This window comes from Homo sapiens, chromosome 6 (assembly GCF_000001405.40).
Source record: "Homo sapiens chromosome 6, GRCh38.p14 Primary Assembly".
In the NCBI taxonomy this organism is placed as follows: domain Eukaryota; kingdom Metazoa; phylum Chordata; class Mammalia; order Primates; family Hominidae; genus Homo; species Homo sapiens.
The window spans coordinates 4,135,615-4,160,665 of NC_000006.12; the positions used below are offsets into that span (position 1 = coordinate 4,135,615).

A 25,051-nucleotide genomic window follows, 5' to 3' on the forward strand; every position below is an offset into this window, starting at 1 on the left:
GCGGGGCCTAGCTCGGTCTGCGGGGGCTCGGGGGTGGGGCCGGGTCTCGGGGGTGGAGCCGGGACTCGGGGGCGGGGCCTAGGCTCCCGGGCTGCGGGGGCTCGGGGGTGGGGCCGGGGCTTGGGTGCGGGGCGGGGCCGAGAGCAGAGCCCAGGCAGGAGCCTGGGGCATGGGCGGGGCCAGGGTTGGGGCGGGGCCAGGCTGAGAGCGTAGCCACGCCGCATTCGCCATCGCTAGCCCGTGGCCTCCTCTGGGGCTGCGGGGGCTCGGGGGTGGGGCCGGGGGGGTCGGTGCGTGGGCGGGGCGGGAGCTCTAGGCGGTTAGGAGTCGGGGCTCAGATGCGGGGGCGGGGCCGGAGCGAGGCCGGGTATCACCCGGGAGTGGAGGAAGTGCGGGGGGTTCGCGGCGCGGGGAGGGTGATCCCGGGAGGACTTGCGCGGCGCGTGGGGCGGGGCACAGATGCTCCCCGGCCTGGCTCCGAGTAACTGCGAGCTGGAGGCGCGGCTGCTCTCTCGGGCGGACCTCAGCTCTGCGAACCCTGTGGCTGCCGGAGCACTGAGCGCCCTGCCCGGAGTCCCGCGGAGCCTGGCGAGGAGGGGTCGCTGCATCCCGAGGGCCAGCCCTGAGCCGGGAGGTGGGGTAACAATTGAGGGCGTATGCTTAAAAGCTGCTAGGTCATGCATCCCCAAATCGAAGGTTTGCAGACCTGGTAGGACGCCTGGGGGTCAGAAGTGATTTTTGGAGTACCCAAGTTTTTAGTGTCAGTGAAGAGTTTGTGGATATTTTTGAGTTCTGCTGAGGCATTTGCAAAGTATTTTCTTTGGGGAAGAATTCTTAAGAGTTGGAAGGGCCTTGGCTGTGTCACCTTGTCCAGTTCCCAGAGAACCAAAAAACAAAACAGAACAAAACGAAACAAAACCACCCCTCTAAATTCTGTGCCCAAGTTGTCCCATCCAAGCATGCCTAGGAGTTTTAGATTTATGTAGCTGACACCTGTGGACTACCTATAGTGAGCCAGGCTAATTGTAAGTCTTTGGACAACCCTGTAAGGAAAATGATATTGCCCTGTTGAGCTGATGTGGAAATTGCCCTGTTGAGCATATTGCCCTGTTGAGCTGATGTGGAAACTGAGACCCAGAAAGATTAATCAGGTGAATTCCCCAAAGACAGGAGGCTTGCAGGTGGGCAGAGTCCAAGTCTCAAGTAACTTTATCATTAAGTTTCATCAGGTAGATCTGGGTAATAGTGTAGATGGGGCAACACCAAAAGTCAAATAGAACAATTTGGGCTTATCCCAAAGAGATTTTTTTTTTTTTGAGATGGAGTTTCCGTCTTGTTGCGTAGGCTGGAGTGCACTGGCACAATCTCGGCTCACTGCAACCTCCACCTCCTGGGTTCAAGTGATTCTCCTGTCTCGGGCTCCCGAGTAGCTGGGATTACAAGCATGCGCCACCAGGCCCGGCTAATTTTTTGTATTTAGTAGAGATGGGGTTTCACCTTGTTGGTCAGACTGGTCTCAAACTCCTGATTTCAGGTGATCCACCCGCTTCGGCCTCCCAGTGTTGGGATTACAGGTGTGAGCCACCACACCTGGCCTCTCCATATATTACAAAGTGGTAGTTGGTAGGCTGAGCTGCCTCTCTCAGAGACCTTGACTCTCTCCAAGGCTGTTAGATAACCTCAGAGGTAATGGAAATGCAGTAATCAGATATTGCAGATAATACAAGACTCATTCATTTCCAGAAGATGAAACAGCTGTCATGGAAATATTTTTTAAATCTCATACTGGTAAGCATATTTTGATAGTGAAACCTTTTGCAATGCAAGCAAACTACTCTCAGGCTTATACCTACCACAGAAAAGAGTGGGGTGTGGGAAATTAGCTTATCTTTTTCAAACTATAATTTTAAAAATATAGAAAGAGCATGTGTCAAAGATTTACTTAGCTCATTAATTAGGGAACCAACAGGGTGCTAAAGAAGAAGTTAAAAGACTAGTTTAATATAGTCAATGTTAAAAAAAGAATGCTGGAATAGATTGCAAAGTTAGAAACAAAACTGGTTAATATCCCATAGAGCAATAAAACCATAACCTCGGGAGGAATGTTTTTCCTATTGGAGAAATCATTTGCATATCTACCAGCTGTCATTTACTAAAGCCCCATTATATCCAGCATTTGAGAGAAAGGAGATGGTTAAAGAGACAGACATTCCTGGTTAAAGAGACAGACATTTAGATTCCTAGATCCTAAAGAGGGTCATCTTGGGTCCGTATTTGGTTTACTAAACTGTTAAGAGGTGTCCAGACCATGCCTTGTAAACATGGCTGCCATGGCCCTGTGGGTGGGAGGGCCAGTTGCAGCAAAAGGGAACCATTGTGATTTTGGTAGATTCTCCACCTGAGCTTGAAGATCATTGTATCTGTGCTAAGGAGTTTGGATTCCGTGCTGAGAGCAAGCAGAGAGCCATTGAAGATACAATTGGCATGCCCAGCTATCCAGTTCTCAGTGAAATCCTGGACTCCAGATATATCTTCAGGGTGTAATGGTTCTGGATAAGAGTAGGAAAGGCAGAAACTCAGTCAAGACCTCTCTAAAGCTCTAATCTTCACCCTGTTATATAACCAGCTTCCCCTGGAGCTTATGAAAATCTTGGGGAGGGGGTCCTCCAGTCTGGTTAGATCCTGTCTTATTGATTGCAGGGGACTGATGCTGCCTGGGAGGGCCGTTGATGTTCTTTGGGTTGAGAGAATCTCAGACTCTCTTAGCAGGTGCACAGGAAGTGTTGTCTCCGGCTATAATGAATCTTTGGGGTCAGCATATCGACTTCACAGTGTTGTGCTCAGTGGTAGTGTGAATGTTTCTTTTTTAAGATCATAGAATAGATTATATCAGAGTAGAATGTTACATGATGACTCTGTCAGTCATGATAATTTTTATTTCCAATATTTACATCATCAGATACTGTTGTTACAGCATGTACAGAGTCTGTCACATTCAGTCTTGAGGAACAATTCTGATACACTGTCCCAATTAACAGTGCAAGCTAGAAACCTGGAAGAGTCTTTGATTCCCTTACCTCACTGACACCTCACATCTATCATTCATCAAATACTAGTGATTCTGTCTCCTAAATATATTTTTTTAATTTTCCCCCTCATCTCACATCCCTCTGCATCGTCTTAATTCATGCTCTCATTGATTTTGAGATTACTGTTACCTGGATTCCTGTAGCAGCCACTTCCCAGTTTTGCTAATTCAGTTACCTCTGCAATCCATTCTCTCCCTGCTTCCAGGCTGGTCTCCCTAAATTTTAAATCTTACACTCCACACGATTCTCCCCGATCTCTCCCCTTGGCTGAAAATCTCTTAGTGAGTCCCCTTTGCCTGTTAAACAAACCCAAGCTGCTTAGCACTGGCAAATAAGGCCCACAAGATTTGCCCTTGCCTACCTTCTCAGGCACCTCTTTCCAGCCCCACATGTTAACTTCCCATTTCAGGTGAACTTGGGATGCTCAGTTTCTCTGAGTTTCCAGGTTCTCTCATTCCAGGCATTGGCATATCCAGGAATCTCCTCTGACCCACCCACTGGTTAGTCCTGTCCTGAGTTCCTACAGTCTCCTGGGCGTTTCTTTCTTCTGGCCCCTATGTCACTGTGTTTTATATCTGATTAGTAATCTATTTTATTACAAGGGGCATATCCTGGGAAGAATTCTACCCTGTATTCAACCCCTTTCTCATTTCTGGACACACTGCTTGACAGAAAATACTGTACTCTGTGAAGGTTTGTTGGATGATGGATGAGCTGTTGAAAGTTTCCTTCTAGAGCGTGCTTTTCCACATTTGATAATAAGTTGTGAGTCAGTTGCTACCTTTTCATTAAGTTGTCAGAAGGTGTTAACATGAGTGTTTTTGTGGTTTGAAATGTTGCTTTTTCAGTGAGTGGTAGCTAAAGGCAGAGGACTTTGACTGTTGCCAAGTTCCTGTGCCGAAATGAACTGGGGAGAGTGGTACGAAGGCAACTGTGGTGTTACTTAACTCTATAAATTTCTGGGTGAAAAATCTATTATAGCTTTTTCCATTAGTCATTAAAATGATTAGTCCACGTTCAACGTTCTGTATCATAATTGTTTCCTGCTTTAGCTGGATGACATTGCTTGAGATAAATTAAACCTGTGGCATTATTATGTCTCCTTTACAAAATTAATCCTCTTTTCTTCTTCCTAGCTAGGCTTTGTATTGCCTTCCTACACAATCTTATATGTCAGAGATATTAAAAATAGTATGCTGGAATATTACCTGCTTTGGGGTGTTTTTCTTATTTCCCATCGTTATAATTTAGAGAAGAAAGTCATTTCAAAAGTAAACATTTGGCTCATGTTATCACCTCTGTCTAAGTGCTTTACACCTGCGTGATTTGTTCATTCATCCAAGGCTCTTTTATCCACTCTTTCTGTATGTTGCACAAGCATTAACCTGACCTTGTATTTGAGGATACTTTTCAACTATCCTTCTGTAGCAAAAAAAAAAAAAAAAAATTATTTTTGGAGGACTCTCCCTCTGAAAATGATTGGAACTGATAGATACACTGTGTAAGAAATGGCTGCTTTTCTGAAGTCATTCCATTTTTTCTTGTTTACACCACAGCTTAAATTAATTTACCTGTCCTAATGAATACATAAGAACAAGAACAATACCTACAATTTAGTTAACCACAGAGAGCCACAAAGACAATTATATGTATTCAACACAATGTCATATAATTTACATGCATTTAAGGGCTGAGAAGAATGTTCAAGAATGGCATCCGTGGTTCGTAGGCAGGTGGTATCCTTATTGACTCAGCAAAGGTGCTCCTGCCTTCTCTGTTCTGCACAAGAAAGAAGTAAATTTAAAATTCCATCCATAAATCAGCAGCTTGACTTTAAATAAGATTAGAAAAACATAGTCAATCCTTATTTTTCGTAGTTTGTGTATTTGAGAGTTTGCCTACTTGCTAAAATTTATTTGTAAACTTTATTTTTATTTATTTATTTATTTATTTATTTTTTTGAGATGGAGTCTTGCTCTCTCTCCCAGGCTGGAGTGCGGTGGCATGATCTCAGCTCACTGTAGCCTCCACCTCCTGGGTTCAAGTGATTCTCTAGCTTCAGGGTTCAAGTGATTCTCTAGCCTCAGCCTCCAGAGTAGTTGACACTACAGGCATGCACCACCATGCCTGTCTAATTTTTTTGCATTTTTAGTAAAGACAGGGTTTCACCATGTTGGCCAGGCTGGTCTTGAATTCCTGACGTCAGGTGATCCACCTGCCTTGGCCTCCCAAAGTGCTGAAATTACAGGTGTGAGCCACTGCACCCGGCCTATTTGTAAACTTTAAATCAATACTCATGGGGCATTTGCAACATGTCTGGAGTGTTGGAAAATTTGATTTGCCCGAAGCACATATTCACAGCTGAGGTCAAACAAGGTGACCTTCTGCCTTCTTATTTCAACTGTCATACTGTAAATAAATGTCCTTATGGGGTTTACTTAATGCTACATATTTTCATATTTTTGTGCTTTTTTTGGTGATTTGCTGTTTAAAATGGCCTGCAAGCATAATGCTGAATTGCTATCTAGTGTAAAAGCAATAAGGCTGTGATGTGCCTCATGGAGAAAATGTGAGCTAGACTTCCTTCAGGCCTGAGTTTATAATGCTGTTAGCAAATTCAGTATTATTGAATCAACTATATACATATATATGTACTTTAAATGATGTGTCTTTCCATAGAAACACATCGGATAAGCTTATGATGAAAATGTAACCAGAGACTCAAAGGAACCTAATCCTGGATTACCTCTAGAAACAATGGTTCACTATTGACTTATTCAGTGTTTGCTATGACTTTAGAAAATCTAATTATCATGAATAATGAGAATTAACTGTATATGCAGCTGTCTTAGGTTAGAGTCTCCCAGAAGCAGACCCCAAGAGAGGAGTTTATTTGGGGAATGATTCCAGGAAACCTTGGTGTAGGAGTAGAGAATTAAAAGAGACAAGGAAAGGCAGGCAATAAAGGGTAAAATCATTAAGCAAGTTACCTCTGTGGACAACTGACACTCAATTCTACTATAGTAGCCTGGGTGCCAGTGAAGAGCATGTGCCTCAGGTGTCCTTCCTGAAGGGAGAGAAAGGTAAGATATTTCTAAGTATTTGGGGATTTTTTTTTTTTTTTTTTTTTTTAATGAGACAGAATCTCACACTGGCCCCAGGCTGGAGTGCAGTGGTGCGATCTCAGCTCACCACAGCCTCCTCCTCCTGGGTTCAAGGCATTCTCCTACCTCAGCCTCCCAAGTAGCTGGGACTACAGGCGCCCACCACCATGCCTAGCTAATTTTTTGTATTTTTAGTAGAGACAGGGTTTCACTGTGTTAGCCAGGCTGGTCTCAAACTCCTAATCTCATGATCCTCCCACCTTGGCCTCCCAAAGTGCTGGGATTACAGGCATGAGCCACTGTGTCCCGCTGTATTTGGGGATTTTTCGTGATCTTTCTCTTATCTCTAGTTTAATTCCACTGTACTCCAAGAACATTCTTTGTATGAATTCAATTCTTTTACATTTGTTAGTTTTATATCCAGTAGTATGTGGCCTATCGCGGTGAACATTCCATGTGTTGTCAAAAGAATATGCATCCTATCATTCATTGTCACTTACTGACTTTGTGTCTCCTTGTTCCATAAATTACTGAGAGAGGAATGTTGATGTCGCCATATGTAATTGTAAATGTGACTATTTCTCTATTCAGTTCAATCAGTTTTTGCTTCATGCATTTTGGAGTTCTGTTGTTAGGTGGATACAAACTGATGACTGTATGTCTTCTTGATGAATTGACCTTTATTATTTTGTACTGTCCCTTTTTATCCCTGGTAAGTAATTTTCCTTTATATGAAGTCTATTTTTTATATTAATGTAGACAACACAGCTTTCTTTTGATTAGTGTTTGCATGGTTTATCTGTTTTTATTCTTTGACTTTTAATATATGTGTATCATTATATTTAAAGTGGGTTTCTTGTAGACAACATATAGTTGTTTGTTTTTTTAAAAATCCAATCTGACAATCTTTGTTTTTTAAATGATATATTTAGACCATTTACATTTGATGTGATTATTGATATAATTAGATGTAGACCTCCTATTTTGTTATTTTTCTGTTTGTTTTTGCTTTTCTCTTCTCCCTCCTTACCATCTTCGAATTATTTTTAGTATTCCATTTTAACTTATCCATTAGGATGATTTGTTTGTTTGTTTGTTTGTTTTGTTTTGGCTTTATGTCTGTATTAGTCCATTCTCACACTGCTATAAAGAACTACCTGAACTGTAATCCCAGCACTGTGGGAGGCTGAGGCAGGTGGATCGCTTGAGCTCAGGAGTTTGAGACCAGCCTGGGCAATGTGGTGAAATCCCATCTCTACAAAAAATACAAAAAAATTAGCTAGACTTGGTGGCACATGCCTGTACTCCCAGCTACTCAGGATACTGAGGTGGAGGATTGCTTGGGCCCAGAAGGCAGAGGTTGAGCTGAGATTGTGGCACTGCATTCCAGCCTGGGAGACAGAGCAAGACTCTGTAAAACAAAACAAAACAAAACAACAACAAAAACCCCAAACCAACAATCTACCTGGGACTGGGGAATTTATAAAGAAAAGAGGTTTACTTGACTCATGGTTCTGCAGGTTGTAGAGGAAACATGGCTGGGTAGGCCTCGGGAAACTTACAGTTATGGCAGAAGGTTAAGGAGAAGTTGGCACATCTTCACATGGCAGAACAGGAGAGAGAGAATGAAGGGGGAAGCACTACACACTTTTAAACAACCAGATCTCATAAGAACTAATTCACTATCACAAGAACAGCAAGGTAAACATCTGCCCCCGTGATCCAATCACCTGCCACTAGGCCCCATCTTCAACACATGGGTATTACAGTTCAACATGAGATTTGGGTGGGGACACAGAGCCAAACCATATCAATCTCTTTATATATTTTTCCAGTGGTTGTTCCAAAGAATATATGTATATAATATTATGATAGTATATATATACACACATATACATGTATATGTGTGTATATATATACACATACTGTTAGTTTATCTGGATTTAATATTTAACAACTTCAAGTAAAATGTTGAAGACTGGCAACCATACAGGTTTCTTTACTCTCTCTCTTTATGTTATAGTTGTCGTCTGTATTACATTTGGATACATTGACACCCTCCCAAACAGTGTTACAATTTTTGCATTCAAACTTCATACATAGTTTCAATAACTTAAAAACGAAAAGTATTATATAACTAGGTATTTATCATTTCTACGGTTTTTTATTCATTCCTGAAGTTTCAAGTTTTCTTCTAGGAACATTTTTCTTCCACATTAGCTTCCTTTAGGAATTTTTCTTAGATATATTGGCAATGAATTCTCTTTGTTTTTCTTCATGTGAGAATATCCTTATTTTACATTCATTCCTGAAGGATATTTCCACTGCATATAGAATTCTGAGTTGACATTTTTTTTTTCTTTCAGCACTTTAAGGATTTTGCTCCCCTGCCTTTATGGTTTCTGATGAGGAATCATTAGCATTCACTAGTATCTGCAGTATTTGAGTTGTTGCTCTCCTATGCAAAATATATCGTTTTGCTATGGCTGCTTTCTAGATATTTATCTTTGGTTTTTGGCAGTTTAATTTTGATGTGTGTTAGCATGGTTTTCTTTGAGTTTATTTTGTTTGGTTTTTCTAGACTTCTTGAATCTATGAATTTATGTCTTTTGCGATATTTGAGGAATTTTTGTTCATTGTTTTGTCAAATATTTTGTCTGTCCTGATATCTTTCATCTCTTGTTCAGGGACTCCAGTGATATTGAGATTGTCCCACAGGTTCCGTGGCTATTTACCTACTTTTAATCCTTTTTCTCTTTGTTTTACAGGTAGGTAATTTTTACTGATCTATCTTTAAATTCACTGACATTATTCTCTCTCAATTCTGCTATTGAACCCACTTAGTGCATTTTTAAATTTCAGGTATTCTATTTTTCAATTCTCAAATTTCTATTTGGCTTTTTAAAATAGTTTCTCTTTCTCTGCTGACTACTCATGTCTTTCTTTTAAATTTGGAAGTGCTTACATTCACCTCATAGAGGAAGGTCATAATGACTGGTTTAAATTATTGACCCCATGCATTTGGTCTCTTGCACTTGACCCCTTGGTTTTTTATGCCCCCAGTGCACCTGCTTTGGGACTCCACTTGTCCATTGGACTTCCTCACCCTCACTGCTGTGGCCTGCAATTGACAATATCATGTCAAAGTCATGTCTTGAGTTTCCAGCTAGGCTAGGATCCTTGCTGATTCCTCTCCCCCAACAGTATCTTTGATCATGCTAGGCAAGCTGAATTAAATTGTAGTAAGTGCATTCATTGATAGAAAAATTGCAGAAAAATTGCGGGTTCAATCCAGCCAATGTAACACTTTATTATCATAATACAATGTGATTATTCTCTTGAATCAACTGTTTTCATTCTAAAGCATCTGTGGAATTTCATGGAGCAGAAATGTAGTGCACATTTCATACCTCCAAATGTTTTAAGCCAAATTATAATTGCAGACAGCCCTTATAAATCTAATTACATGCCTTACAGTGACTCCACAGGTACACAGGCCAGATGGAATTAATATATTACTGCTGCTATTAATCACGTGAGATTAAGACAAATAATATAACATGATTATATAAAATGATCTGCCATTTATCTGCTGTGATCACCTACTTCATTAAGGTATTGGCAGCATTTAGCAAGGCTGGTGTTGCAGTCTGTTTTTTTGCTATAAAAGAATACATGTAGCTGGTAGTTTATAAAGAAAAGAGGTTTATTTGGCTTATCGTTCTGCAGGCTATACAAGAAGAAGCATGGCACCAGCATCTGCTTCTGGTGAGCAGCTCAGGCTGCTTCCATTCCTGGTGGAAGGGAAAGGGGAGCTGACTTGTGCAGAGATCACTTCCAAGAGGGAAATCAAGAGAGAGAGGTAGGAGGTGCCAGGCTCTTTTTAACGTCCAGTTATCTTGGGAGCTAATAGAGTAAGAACTCACTGATACCTACTACCCCCATCCTCCATCTCTTCGTGAAGAGTCTGCCCCCATGATCCATACACCTCCCATTAGGCCCCCCCTTTAACACTGAGGATCACATTTCAACCTGAGATTTGGAGGGGCCAAACAAACCATATCCAAACTATAGAAGTGGCAAATTGACAACATCTACTTATTCGTTCAAAAGAAATAGGGTGAAAACATGAGATGATCCATGGATGTTTCAGCTTTTCTGTGACTGACCCTGCATACTGAAAAGCAATAAATTCCTTGCTAACTTAAATAAAGTAATGGCAGATATGCCTAAGGCCACAAATCTATTTAATGTAGTTGGAGTTAATTTGATTAATTGTGGATTTCTAGGCAGTAATCTCTTAAACTTTGTACTCAGCTTTATTAACTTTCAGAAGCTAAGATGAACTTTTCTGTTGCTGTCATACTTTCAGAAACTCATATTGAGTACCAATTGCTGATCTCAAACCCATTTTAAAATATTCCATTGCATTCTGGGTAATTTCATTTCTTGTCATTAATTTCACATTGAAATTTTTGGCTGTTGATTGCTGTGATAAAACCTTTCCCCATGAAACCTTCCTAGAAAAATTTTTACTTTATTTCATAAGTTATCAATGCTCAGAATTGAAATTCATTCTTTTATGTCTCCAAGAGGTGCTTATTGAGTGGTTACTATGTGCTAGGCCTGTCTTGGGCACTAAGGAGATGGGGGTGAACGAGATACATAAATGCTTTGCTTCTGTGGAGTTCACATTCCAGTGGAGGAAGGCAAAAGTAATAGGTGGACAAATGCATAAAATAATTTCAGGTATTAAATATTATATAGAAAATGGCCAGCTCATTTAAAACCTTATGGGTGTGTTCAGAGTTTAGATTTCATTCTAAGAACAAAGAAGTTACTGGGAATTTAAAGTGGAAAGTGTGAGCAGATTCACTATACACTGGTTATCAACTTATCACCCACCCGCACATCAGGTTACATGAAGTGGGTTTATTACTCACAGAAACGTAGCCAGGAACAACGGAAGCCTAAGGTCCATTGTAAGCTGGTCCCTCAAGGCTCAGGAAAGCTGCCCTGGGCAGATGGAGTCTTGTCTGTACATCCTCTTGCACTGCAGGTGAGGGATCCCAGAAAGCAACCCACTCTATGTTTTACACTCCGGGGTCCTGGGGGGTCCCCTGGGCCAAAGCACCGAAGGACATCCTGTTTCTGGAGGGAAATGGAATAAAGCCCAGGCTGTTGTGACCAGCCTCTGCCTATCTCAGGACACTGCATTCCCAGCACATTTTATACTTATTCTTGAAAACTACAAATGAGAAAGGGAGAAGAACTGGGTTGATTCAAGGTCACCTGGATAACTGTCTGCAGAAAGATGTCTTTAAAAGTCCAAAATGGCTGCAATATTGTAAAATGGATTAAGGCAAGAAAGAGTAATTAAAGGTGATAAATGTTCAGGTAGAAGGTGAACTTGAATCAAGGTGGGAGGAGTGAAGATGAAGAGAAAGAAGGGTTCTCTGTAAACTGTAGAATATGCTTTTAGATCACTAGAAATACTGCCTACACACAATGATATATACTTTCTTTTTCTTACTATAAATATAACTATTATTTGTTTCATATATTTTTGTGTTGGCTACAATTTCCAAAATATAAATTAGTAATGGTTATAGAGGATATCCTCTAGGGTTTTAAATGTGATGTTGGTTTTTGGTTTGGGAGAGAGAGCCTTTTCATATTAATGCATTGTTACTCTGGTTCTAATTTTTGATCAGTTTTCAACAGGAATGGATGATGGATTTTATTGAATACTTTCTTGGTGTTAATGAAAAAATTCTATTTTTTACTGATGGCTTGCATAAAACTAATATATTTCTCAATATTAAACCATTCTATTCCTGTTTCTATAAATTTGACTTTTTTAGGTATCTTATATAAGTAGAATCATACAGCATTTGTCTTTTTGTGACTGGCTTATTTCACTTAGCATGTCTTCAAGGTTCATTTATATCATAGTATGTGTCGGAATTTCAATCCTTCTTAAGGCTAGGTAATGTTTGGTTATATATACATATATATATATATATGTAAATATATACACACCACATTTTGTTTATCTGTTCATCTGCTGATGGACACTTGGGTTGCTTCCACATTTTGACTAGTGTGAAAAATGCTGCTATGAATGTAGGTGTACAACTCTGACTCCTAGTTTTCAATTTTGGGAGGTATATACTCAAAAGTGGAGTTGCTGAATTATATGGTAACTCTATTTTTAATTTTTTGAAGACCTGCCATAATATTTTCCTTAGTTGCTACACCATTCCTACCAACAGTGCACAAAAGGTCTAATTTCTCCACAAACTTGCCAATCGTTATTTTTATTTATTTATTTATTTGAGATGGAGTCTCGCTCTGTCACCCAGGCTGGAGTGCAGTGGCATGATCTCAGCTCACTGCAATCTCCGCCTCCCTAGTTCAAGCGATTCTCCTGCCTCAGCCTCCCAAGTAGCTGGGACTACAGGCGTGTGCTACCACGCCCGGCTAATTTTTTGTATTTTTAGTAGACATTGGGTTTTCCCATGTTAGCCAGGATGGTCTCGATCTCCTGACCTCGTGATTCGCCCATCTTGGCCTCCCAGAGTACTGGGATTACAGGCCTGAGTCACTGTGCCCGGCAATCCAATACTTTTTTTTTTAATTATTTTTTATTTTTCTGGGTGCATAGTAGGTGTATATATTTATGGGGTATATGAGACATTTTGATACAGGCATGCAAAGTGAAATAATCACATCATGGGGAATGGGGTATTCAGCCCTTCAAGCATTTACCCTTTATGCTATAAACAATCCAGTTATACCCCTAGTTATTTTAAAATGTACAGTTAAGTGATTGTTGACTATAGTCACTCTGTTGTGCTGTCAATAGTAGGTCTTATTCATTCTTTCTAACTACTTTTTTTTTGTACCCAGTAACCATCCCCACCTCCCTGTCAGCCCCCTACTACCCTTCCCAGCCTCTGGTAACCATCCTTCTACTCTCTATATCTATGAGTTCAGTTGTTTTGATTTTTAGCTCCCACAAATAAGTGAGAACATGCGGTGTTTGTCTTTCTGTGCATGGCTTATTTTACCTAACATAATGATCTCCATTTTATTAAAAATGAGCTCACTGTAGATGAGTGGATTTGTTTCTGGGGTCTCTATTCTGTTCCATTGGTCTGTGTCTCTGTTTTTGTGTCAGTACTGTGCTGTTTTGGTTACTATAGCTCTGTAGTATAATTTAAGGTCAGGTAATGTGATTCCTCCAGTTTTGTTCTTTTTTCTCAGCATAGCTTTGGCTATTCTTTTTTCTCAGGATAACTTTGGCTTTTGTGGTTCCATATACATTTTAGGATTGTTTTTTCTATTTCTGTAAAGAATGTTATTGGTATTTTGATAGGCATTACATGGGATCCGTAGATGGCTTTGGTAGTATGGACATTTTAACAATATTGATTCTTCCAGTCCATGAACATGGAATATCTTGTCATTTTTTGGTGCCTTTTTCAGTTTCTTTCATCAGTGTTTTATGATTTTTATTGTAGAGATCTTTTACTTCTTTTGTTAATTCCTAGGTATTTGCTTTTATTTGTGGCTATTGTAAATGGCATTACTTTTAAAATTTTCACTTTGTTCATAGTGGGGATATAGATATGGTACTGATTTTTGTATGTCGATTTTATATCCTGCAACTTTGTTGAATTTGTTTATCAGTTCTAATAGTTTTTTTGTGTGTGTAGTCTTTAGGATTTTCCAAATGCAAAATCATATCACCTGCAAACATGGATAATTTGACTTCTTCCATTCCAGTTTGCACGCCTCTTCTTTCTCTTGTCTGATTGGTCTAACTAGGACTTCCAGTACTATGTCGAATAACAGTGATGAAAGTGGGCATCCTTGTCATGTTCCAGATCTTAGAGGAAAGGCTTTTATTTTTTCTCTCATTCAGAATGACACTAGCCATGTGTGTGACATATGTGACTTTTATTATGTTGAGGTATGTTCCTTCTATACCCAGTTTTTGGAGGTTTTTTTTTTTATCACGAAGGGATATTGAATTTTATCAAATATTTTTTCAGCATCAATTGGAGTGATTATTGTTTTTATCTTTCACTCTGTTGATATGATGTATCACATTGATTTGCATATGTTGGACCATTTTTGCATCCCAGGGATAAATCTTACTTGGTCATGGTGAATGATATTTCTAATGTATTGTTGAATTTCGTTTGTAGTATTTTTTTTGAGAATTTTTGCATCAATACTAATCAGAGCTATTGGCCTGTAGTTTTCTTTTTTCTGATGTGTCTTTGTCTGGTTTTGGTATCAGGGCAATACTGGCTTCAAAGAATGAGTTTGGAAGTATTCCCTGCTCCTCTATTTTTGGAAGAGTTTGAGTAAGATTGGTCTTAGTTCTTTAAATATTTGGTAGAATTCAGCAGTGAAGCCATGGGTTCCAGGCTTTTCTTGACTGGAAGACTTTTTATTATGGCTTCAATCTTGTTACTTATTATTGGTCTGTTCATGTTTTATACTTCTTCCTGGTTCAATCTTGGTAGGTTGCATGTGTCTAGGAGTTTGTCCATTTCTTCTAGGCTTTCCAATTTACTGGCATACAGTTGCTCACAGTAGCTACTAATGATCCTTTGAATTTCTGCAGTATCATTTGTATTATCTCCTTTTTCATTTCTGATTTTATTAATTTGCATCTTCTCTCTTTTTTCTTACTCTGGCTAAAGGTTTGTCAATTTTGTTTAACTTTTTAAAAACCCAACTTTTTGTTTCATTGCTCTTTTGTACTGTTTTCTTTATTTCTACTCTGATCTTTATTACTTCTTTTCTACTAATTTTGGATTTGGTTTGCTCTTGATTTTCTAATTCTTCAAGATGTATCATTAGATTATTTGAAGTTTTTCCTCTTTTTTGATGTAGACACTTATGTCCATATACTGCCCTCTTAATACTGCTCTCGCTGTATCCAGTAGGTTTTGGTATGTTGTGTTTCCATTATCATTCAGGAGCATATTGTTGCATTTCCATGTTTTTGTATGGTTTCCAAAATTCCTCTTGTTATTAATTTCCAGTTTTTTCATTCATGGTCAGATAAGATGCTTGATATGATTTCAATTTTTTGAATGTTTTAAAACTTGTTTTGTGACCTAACATATGGTCTATCCTTGAAAATGATCTATGTGCTGAGAAAAAGAATGTATATTCTGCAGCTGTTTGATAAAATGTTTTGTAAATATCTATTAGATCCATTTGGTCTATAGTGCAGATGAAGTTTGATGTTTTTCTTTTTCTTTTCTTTCTTCCTTTTTTTTTTTTTTTTTAAGATGGCGTTTCACTCTTGTTGCCCAGGCTGGAGTGCAATGGCATGATCTTGGCTCATTGCAACCTCCGCCTCATGGGTTCAAGCGATTCTCCTGCCTCAGCCTCCCAAGTAGCTGAGATTACAGGTGCCCACCACCATGCTAGAGAAATAGTTGAAAACTGTATGGTAGTAAAAGACATTAACTTATGTATTGCAGTCTATGTCAGATCGTGTAGATTAGACAAAAAATTAGTTCCTTTGCAGACCTCTCCCTAAAGCCATCACAATGCCAACTCCCCAGAGCCAACCATTTTCAACACTTTCAGTTATTTTTAAATGATAAAAATTCAAATGCAGTGATTCTAGAAGTATGGTCCAGTGGTTTCTGGAAGTCTCCAAAATCTTTTAGTTAGGATTCCTTAAAGGGAGATCAAAGTTGAGGTAAAAACTAGATACTGTTTAGACCATTTACATTTAATGTAATTATATGTTTGAATTTAGGTCTTCCATTTTATTATTTGTGTTTTCTTCCTGTCTGTCTTCTCTTTCCTGCCTTTTGTATTATTTGAACTTTCTTTTTTTTTTTTTTTTTTTTTAGCATTCCATCTGAATTTATTTTGATTTTAACCATATCTTTTCATATAAAATTTTAGTGGTTGCTCTAGGGATTTAAAAAAATACAAACTTAACACTTTAATGGCAATTTATAATCAGCATTTTACCACTTTAATTGGAATGTGTAAAACTTACCAGTAGGTTTCCTTTCTCGTTTATGTATTACATCTGCACACATTGAAAACTCCATCAGACAATGTTATACCCTGTGCTTTCAAACATCAGATATGTTTTAAAGTACTCAAAAAGAGAAGAACAGTCTATTATATTTACCCAGATACTTGCCATTTCTGTTGTTCCCTTTTATTACTGAAGTTCTGAGATTTCTTCTTGGATCATTTCCTTTCAGCCTGAAGAACTTGTTTAGCAAATCTCTTAAGTAGGTACACTGGTCAGAATTCTCTTAGTTTTCCTTCATCTAAGAATGTATTTATTTCACAGAATTCTCAGTTTATAGTTCCTTCCCTCCTTCCTTCCTTCCTTCTCTCCTTTAAAATGTTGTTCTACTTCCTTCTGGTCTCCGCAGTTTCTGATGAAAAATCTATAGTTATTCAAATTGAAAATCCTCTATTGACAATGCACTGTTTTTCTGTGGCTGCTTTAAAACTTTTTTCATTCTTTTTATTTTTCAACAATTTCATTGTGATGCATCTATGCATAATTTTATTTGTATTTATCCTTTTAAAAGTTCACTCAGCTTTTTAAATCTGTAGGTTATATCCTTTGCCAAACTTGGGAAGTCTTCGGCCATTGTTTTTTCAGACTTTTTTTCAGCACTGCACTCTTTCTCTTGTCCTCTAAAACTCCAGAGACACAAACATTAGAACTTTTATTATTGTCTTATATGTACCTGAAGCTCTACTAGATTTTTTTCAACCTTTTTTCCCTCTTTTTTTGATGTATCTTCAAGTTCACTGTTTCCTCTGTCACATCCTTTGTGGTACTGAACCCAGCTAATGTGTTTGTTTTTTTTTAATATTGGTTATTGTGCTTTCAACTCTAAAATTTCTGATTTTTGTCCTGTATATCTTCTATTTCTTTAATGATACCTTGTATTTTTGCTTTTTCTTCAAGAGTGTTCAAGATTGCTCATACAAGCATTTTAAAAGCTTTGTCAGATACTTCCAACATTGGTGTCATCATGGCACTGGCATCTGTTGATTGACTTTTCCCATACATGTTGAGGTTTTCATGGTTCTTTATATGCTGAATACTATTTGAGTGTACCCTGAACATTTTGATTATTATATATAAGACTTCAGGTCTTGTTTAAATCCTATGGAAGATGTTGACATTTTTGTTTTGGCGGGCACTTGACCTGGTTAAGTTCAGGCCTCACATTTCAACCCACCTTCTCTGAGCTGCAATTCCAATGTTAGTTCAATTTTCAAAGCCTTTCAATGCTACTCAGATCATTCCCAATTGGGTGCCCCCCGTGAGTGCTCCTTACCTAAAAGGTCAGACTGGAACCTGGGGAGACCTGTCTCTTAAGCTCAGTCCTCAAGGTCTTTTGAATGCCAATTAGGATCAGATTTAGACATGCTCAGGCCAGGGGTTAGCCAGGAGTTCATAAACCTCTTTATGGAGTTCCTTTCCCAGACACTCTTATTTTATTTATTTATTTATTTATTTATTTATTTTTACTTCTCTGGGGATAATGCTGTATGCTTTCCCAAACTCTTCTCTCTCTGCTCTCTCCTTAGCACCTCTGGTTCCCTGAGGCTTTATTTTATGGTTGTCCAGCCAGTAACTACCCACTTCTGTGACTGCCTTACAGCAGTGCTGGGAGAGAGAGGGTGAGAGAGAGAGAGAGGAAGACAGAGAGGCAACAGTGTTTGTGGCACCTTCTTGGAGCTGCGGTTCTTCTGAACTGAGAGCAAGGTTTCTCTCCCTCAGAGCTGTAGCTCCTGCAGATTCCTGTTGCTGGCCTCTTTTGCTGCTGCACCGAGCCTGCTGTGGGCTTGCCTGAGGGTTGGGGCACCAGAGAGTGGAGAAGAAGGAGAGAAAAAAAATACTGAGGGATTTCCCACACACTCTCTTTCCCTTAAAAGACTAGAGCTACTACCATGCCATAATTAGCTAAAACTTCCACTTTCTGGAAGAACTGTCATTTTCTTACAGCTATTCACTTTCTTTCAACGTTCGTCACCAACATAAACACTAGACTCTCTTTGGGTGCTGTTTTCATTAAAGAAGTGAAACTTTTATCACTTCATGATGGTCGCTGAGTATGCTAAGGGAAGCAGAGAAAAACAGGGCTGCGTCTCCCTGTGGAGACTGGAGGTGGGCAGGCCCATCGATTGGCCAAGCGGCTCAGCGTAGCATCTGCTACTAAAATCGGGCCCCAGAAAAGTTACCCATTGTGCCATAATCATGTAGGCCTCTGGAAATCCTTGAGGAAACTCCAAATAGTGAATGTTAAATTAAAAAATGACAAAGTTCCATTTGATTGTTATCATTCTTGAGAGGTAATTTCACTATGATCTGTCAGGAAACATCTGTAAGAGATTCAGCCATAATGTGTTAAGGAGAAGGTTAGAAAATCTAGGGAAAAGCTCCTATCATTTTATAGTTTCTTTGGGGATTGAAATATATCTACTGAAGCAGGCTTCAAACTAGTGTGTCTAGAAATGGGATATCTTCACCTGGGATGGGGTAGTTGCCCTTGAGCCACATGACCCAGGCATAATTACAGATTTTCAGGAGTGGAAGAGACTTGAGATGCTATCTGACCAAACCTTCTGTTTTTACAGACGAAGAAACTAAAGCCAACATGTGAAGTAAGAACCTGTCAAGGGTCATATTAGGTCACATCAGGTCATATCCTAACATGTGTTGGCATCCTTTCCCCCTGTGCTGTCTGATATGCCTGGGAGACGCCCTCCGTCCTGCTTCCCACTAGGGCTACACTGGTATGTGAGTCCTTTGGGGGCAAAATCACCCATTTTGGGAATTTTGGAAGCAGAACAAAAGTGGCAGTGTTCTGATGGTTCTAGTTAAAGATGGAGAGGGATGTGGGTCTATTGCAGACATAAAGAACTCTCTTCTGAATGGGAGGGGCAGCCCAAGACCCTGGAATTACAATGTGATGGGACAGTTCAAGTCAAGTCTTTGTTTTGGCAGGTCAAACGGTGTAAACTTTGCTGGAAGGAACCTTACTCAGAGGGCCAATCACCTGCTTCTCTAGAGTTCTCAAGCTCTCCTGTGAGCACCAGGTTGAGCTGCAGAAAGCCAGAACCAGCTCAGAAACTGAGAAATGGACATGAAGATGCCCAGGTCTGCAGATGGTTTCCATTCTGAAAAGTGATAGTCCCAAGGGGGACTGGCATGCAGTCATTCATTCAACAATTGTGCTCCTACTCTGTGAAGTATTGGGGATACAGTGCTGAGCACAGACAGACCTAGTCTCTGTCCTTTGCACCTTTCAGTGAAGGATAGGAGGTAGACATTGATGCAACAAGCACCCGAGTAAATGTAAGACCATGCAGTGATAAAGGCCGTGGAGGAAGGGCCCATGCAGGGGCAGAAAACAGAGGAAGGGGCTGGTGGAGCAGCTCCTCTAGCTCAAGGCTGAGTGGTATAAACTGTAGCTACTGCATGATCTGAACGTGTCTTAAGGAGGGTATCCCCAAAGCGGGCTCATTGGGAGTTACTGTGGAGCGCTAGTTTATTGTAATTGCCATATGTTTATAAGTAATGGAATCCTAGAATTAGAAGGAACTTCGGTCACCTTTTAATTTAATATTTATCTTTCTCAATCCAGGAAACATCTCTACAGCATCCCTAACTGGGGGTTGATCCATTCATTTCCAGACACAGAGAACAGAGTCACATTCTGCTGTTTCCATATGTACCATTTTAGTAAGACTTCTTGGGGCACAAGGCAGGAAGTTGGGGACAATATATTTGTCTGCACCAAGGCAGCCTGAGAAGAGAGAAGTGAATACTCCTGGGGTTATTCTATATTATTCACTTAATATTCTAAGTGAGTCCTCTAGGGGTACCTGAGACATGGAGTATGAAAGTACACATTCACAAAAGTACCAGCTTTAAAACTAGATTATCTCTACTATTCAAAAACACCAAGGAAAGGCCACACAATGGAGACAAAGTGCATCTGAGATCTAGCAAATTTCCCTGTTGGCCACATACTGATAATGATGTATTAAAATCAATTCTATACTGTGGGGTACTTATTTGACATTAATAGGTACCATGGTGGTTTAACATAGTTGCTGCCCAGAGAAAACGCCGCACACTCACCTACACTAAAATGAAGTCTGAGTCAGCTGCCTCCCCTCCGCCATCCCTTCCAAAGCCAATGGTTGAAAGTCACAGAAGTCCCTCTGCTGCCACCTAGTGACGACAATGTGAATACAACTACACAGCCTCCTGGGAAAGAAGTTTTGAACCACGTTTGCTTCTAAAGGAAGCCTGTAATTACCTCTGAGTGCTCTATTTTGGCTACAATTTAAAAACATATATATTTTAAAACTCTATAAACTCTTATGCATATCCCTTTTTAAGAATCTGACCTGTAATGGATGTAGCCTCACTTTCAAGAACCTAAAAGCTATGCCCCCAATTCAGGGAGTAGAACAGACAGGCTTAAGAACAGTGCCTAAAAATGCCACTAAATTTATCTTTAAAATGCCTGTGGTTCCTTAGCACTTGAATTCCGTTATGCCCCTGGGTATAGTCACCTGGATGTTAGGGGCTGTCAAAATTCAGCCCTCAGTTGGTGATCAGTAGGTTTTCCCTTTAAGTGGTTTCTGAAAGGATTTTTTTTAAAAATCTTGAAATTCTCATGTCTGGATGATGTTTCCAGTTTTGTGGAAGAATAAAAGAAAAGGGACATGAAATTCTGGCTCCCTGGGGGCAGTGGCTGTGTCTTATTAATCTCTGTGCCCATTGTACCAACACCGGTCAGTCACAGCATGTACTCAACCAATGCTGATGAATGCAGAGGGGCGAGGGGCTGGCACGCTCTTGACCCCTTATAGGGGCTGCGTCGATGGCCAGGGTTCAATGGGAACTTTCTGGTACAGTCTTGCTCTGCCAATCTTTCAAATTAAGTGCAGCACAATTGGAAGCCTCACATTCTCATAGACGGGTTGAGGAGGGCATTAGGGGCAGAAAGGCTCACATAAGGCCTGAGCGTGAGGTTTCCTGCCCAGCACTGCTGTGCCATTGCAGCCCACCTTCTTCTCACCTTTCCTTCCACACCACGGCGCGGCAGGTGCAGAAACCGTGCTGGGATTGAGGCCCTAGAGGCTGACTACAGGTCTTGGGGGCAAAACATCTGGACACACAGCTGAAGATGAGCCAAGTATATTAGTCAGGGTTCTCTAGAGAAACAGAACCAACAAGATAGAGAGATGCAGAGAGACAGAGGGACAGACAGACAGATTTAAGTAACTGACCCATAAAATCTTGGAGGCTTGGCAAGTCCAAAATCTGCAAGATGGAAGTGGGCTGGCACATTGGAGACTCAAGGAAGAGTTGCACGTTGAGTTCAAAGGCCGGCTGCTGGCAGAATTCCTTTCTGCTCAGGTGAAGTCGGTCTCTGTTCTATTAAGACCTTCAACTGATTGGATGAGGTCCACCCATATTATGAAGGGTCATTTGCTTTACTCAACATCTACTCATCTAAATATTAATCTCATTGAAAAAAAACCCCAGAAACATCCAGAATAGCATTTGACCAAATGTTTGGACAATGCAGCCTAGCCACATTAACACACAAAATTAACTGTCACAGCAAGACACCAGGGAAGCATTGGAAGATGTTAGCGGCTGTCATTGAAATGGGTGCCGTCAGGTGGACGGCAGCCATCCATCGGGCAAGAGCGGGGCAGCTGGAAGGGCCCTCCCCTCCCGTTTGCTTTCTGCTCTTCACAGCTCACGGATAGAGGAATTTTCTCAGCACATTTCCCAGGAGGAGTTTGGCACCACCATTTCTTGAAAACAGATGTCTGCAGGGATGTGTGTGTGCCTGTGAATATGAAGTCCAGAGCCTGGGACTGAGAACAGCAAGGGGAACAGGTGGCCACAGGGGAGTTGCCAGATTGCTGACTTAAGATGTGCTCCCAGGGCTGCACTGGTGTCGGTCGTGAGAGCGATCACGGTTTGTGCAACGTCTGAACTTTCTATCAACTTATGGTTTAATCAATTTGCTGTTTACTCCAGCTATTTGCAACCTCTCCTCAGTTACTTGGTGTTCAGCAGTGTAATATATCTTCATGTGTGAATATAAATATACTATTTAGTGGAAACTAAAAGGAATTGTGGAGGAAGAATTTTTTTGGATAATTTTATGTTTTCATAATGTAAAAATTAAAGATATTTGAAGAGTTGAGTATGTCAGTTTTGGGGATGCAAGAGAATGACTTCGGGACTACCATAATATTTAAAATCATCACTACTCTTTCTTTCCACCTAAGTCTCATAGCAAAAGAGGAAATTTACTTCAGTCTCTTTCTGTAGCAGAACATTATCGTGCTGTATTCCTGTGTTCACTTATCTGCGCTGGATTGTGAGTCCTTACAGAGAGAAATTGTTATGTGCTATGTTCCCAACACCTGCACATTATAGGTGGTCACTAAGTGCTTGATGAATAAATGAATGAGGGAATAATATTGTTTATTATTTTTTGCTGTTATTTATAATTGGGAGTGGGTAGGATTTGGATTATGAAGACTCTGGGAAGCCTCATAAGAACCTCAGACTCACTGGGCACGGTGGCTCACACCTGTAATCCCAGCACTTTGGGAGGCCGAGGCAGGCGGATCACGAGGTCGGGAGATCGAGACCATCCTGGCTAACACGGTGAAACCCGGTCTCCACTAAAAATACAAAAAACTAGCCAGGTGTGGTGGCGGGCGCCTGTAGTCCCAGCTACTCCAGAGGCTGAGGCAGGAGAATGGCCGTGAACCCAGGAGGCGGAGGTTGCAATGAGCCGAGATCGCACCACTGCACTCCAGCCTGGGCGACAGAGCAAGACTCCATCTCAAAAAGAAAAACCTCAGACCAGACTCAACGTGTCCAAAAAAGAGCTCACCTTGTACCCCTAGATCCTGAAGCGGCTTCCAGTAGCTCAACCTCCTCCCATCCAGTTCCATCTCTGCCAGGGATCTTTTAAAAATGCAAATCTCATTATGTCTCTTTCCTGCCTCAAACCTCCCAGTGGTTCTCCAGTCTGTCAGGAGAGGGTATAGACTGTGGCCTGGCCCGGGAAGTTCTTTGAGGTCAACCCCTGCCTACTCATCTTGCTAACTCTTATGGCTCTCTGACACTAGGCTTTTGCTCCAATCATATAAGCAACTGTATTTCCATAAAATTGCAATGTTCTTCCCTACCTCCTCACTTAACTAATTTTCACTTTACTGATCATTTCTTATTTTACTATCAGCGTCTCTTTCTCCTTATTCTTCAGGGAACATTTCTCTCCACCATCCTGTGCCACACTGTGGGGGTGTCAGTAACACCCTCTGTCCTCTCCTGGCCAAAGGAAAGGGGTGTCATTCAGCCCAGGCCCCTGGATCCTCATCTTGGGATTTGGAAATGTGACCGAAGTGACATAAAAAAAAGACATGAAGTGCGAGGAGCTCATTCAGTCAGCTCTGCAGCTCCAGCTGGGTTACCTGTGAGTCCTTGCTAGCCAGATCCCTTGATTTGCCGTGACTCCTGCCTTTGCCAAGTCTGTCTTCATAGATTCTTTCAAATGTGGTTCCATCTTGCCTGAGTTCGTCAGAGCCAGATTCTGTGCTGTAATAAAAAACCCCAAATCAACTCACCTCTCACCCTCCACAATGCAGCTTCTGGAAGATTCCAGATGCCCCAGCCTGACTGAGAATTCTCTCTCCTCTGCTCTCAAAGTCCCTTTGGGTGCTTCTACCAAAGCACTGACAGCGTGATTCTGATTTGATCGCTGGTGTCTGAGAGCTGTGAACGTCTTGATGGTTTTGGCGCCCAGCACCATTCCTGCCTCATAATTGGCACGTGATAAAGGCTTGTCGCATTCCCTCATTCAAAATAAACATAGAAGACAATCCAGAGATTGCAGCTTCACAGAAATCACAGAAGGAAATTTATATTTATAGAGACGGCATATAAAATTTTAAAACAATTTTAATGAAAATCTTGAAAATAGACATTCTCTTCTTTAAACAACATAAACTGAACAAACTCAGTCTGTTTTGGTGCCTCTGTGAGTACCCTCGGTTGCTCTGGGCTGCTGTGCGATGCTGACCGGGACTTCCTCAGAGGCCTCATCTTCTGCATCCAGTGGACTTGCAAGCCACTTTACACTTCCTGGGTGATAAGGTTTGGATTTGTGTCCCCGCCCAAATCTCACGTGGAATGTCATTCCTAATGTTGGAAGAGGGGCCTGGTGGGAGGTGATTGGATCATGGGGGCAGAATTCCCTCTTGCAGTTCTCTTGGTAGTGAGTTCTCACAAGATCTGGTTGTTTAAAAGTATGTAGCACCTCCTGCTTTCGCTGTCTTCCTCCTGCTCCCGCCATGTAAGACGTGGCCTCCTTTCCCTTCGCCTTCCGCCATGATTGAAAGTCTTCAGAGGCCTCCCCAGCCATGCTTCATGTACAGCCTGTGGAACTGTGAGCCAATTAAACCTCTTTTCTTCATAAATCACCCAGGCTCGGGTATGTCTTTACAGCAATGTGAGAACGGACTCATACTGTGGGTCTGTAGCCTCTTTCCATGGTATTATCTCATATTTTTCAATGTTTCTTTGATGCATGTTTTAAGAAATGTTAATTGAAAGCATGTCATGGGACAGGCACTGGATTACGTCTTAGAAATGCCAAGATGCACAGCCACAGTTGCTTTCTCCAGGACGGCACAGGTGAGGAGGGGGATCAAAAATAAAGGCTAGAGATAGGTGCCTGTGCTGGGTGCTTGGGGCATATAGGTAGGGTACCTGATCCA

The 25,051-nt window shown here is 40.8% G+C and overlaps 3 long non-coding RNA genes across 3 annotated transcripts in view, besides 2 other annotated features; 2 read left to right on the top strand and 1 right to left on the bottom strand.

Moving 5' to 3' along the window:
* Nucleotides 7–146: a silencer, noted in NCBI's record as "silent region_16859". NCBI's record gives its function as "represses an Ori minimal core promoter by ATAC-STARR-seq in GM12878 lymphoblastoid cells {active_cell/tissue: GM12878}" and the evidence as "EXISTENCE:reporter gene assay evidence [ECO:0000049][PMID:35858748]".
* Nucleotides 307–516: a silencer, noted in NCBI's record as "silent region_16860". NCBI's record gives its function as "represses an Ori minimal core promoter by ATAC-STARR-seq in GM12878 lymphoblastoid cells {active_cell/tissue: GM12878}" and the evidence as "EXISTENCE:reporter gene assay evidence [ECO:0000049][PMID:35858748]".
* Nucleotides 458–21,771, top strand: ECI2-DT (ECI2 divergent transcript). Its single transcript, NR_103764.1, has 4 exons — nt 458–634; nt 1,747–1,788; nt 19,227–19,379; nt 19,867–21,771. It is a non-coding gene; the product is annotated as an ECI2 divergent transcript (long non-coding RNA).
* On the bottom strand, nt 4,720–6,188 carry LOC107986559 (uncharacterized). Its single transcript, XR_001743933.2, has 2 exons — nt 6,080–6,188; nt 4,720–4,868 (listed from the first exon to the last, which is right to left on the bottom strand). It is a non-coding gene; the product is annotated as an uncharacterized LOC107986559 (long non-coding RNA).
* LOC124901246 (uncharacterized) overlaps nt 8,096–25,051 on the top strand; it is a 35,700-nt gene continuing 18,744 nt past the window's right edge. The window contains exons 1-2 of the long non-coding RNA XR_007059416.1: nt 8,096–8,961; nt 9,923–10,055. This is a non-coding gene — a long non-coding RNA (uncharacterized LOC124901246). The remainder of the gene's footprint in view (nt 8,962–9,922; nt 10,056–25,051) is intronic.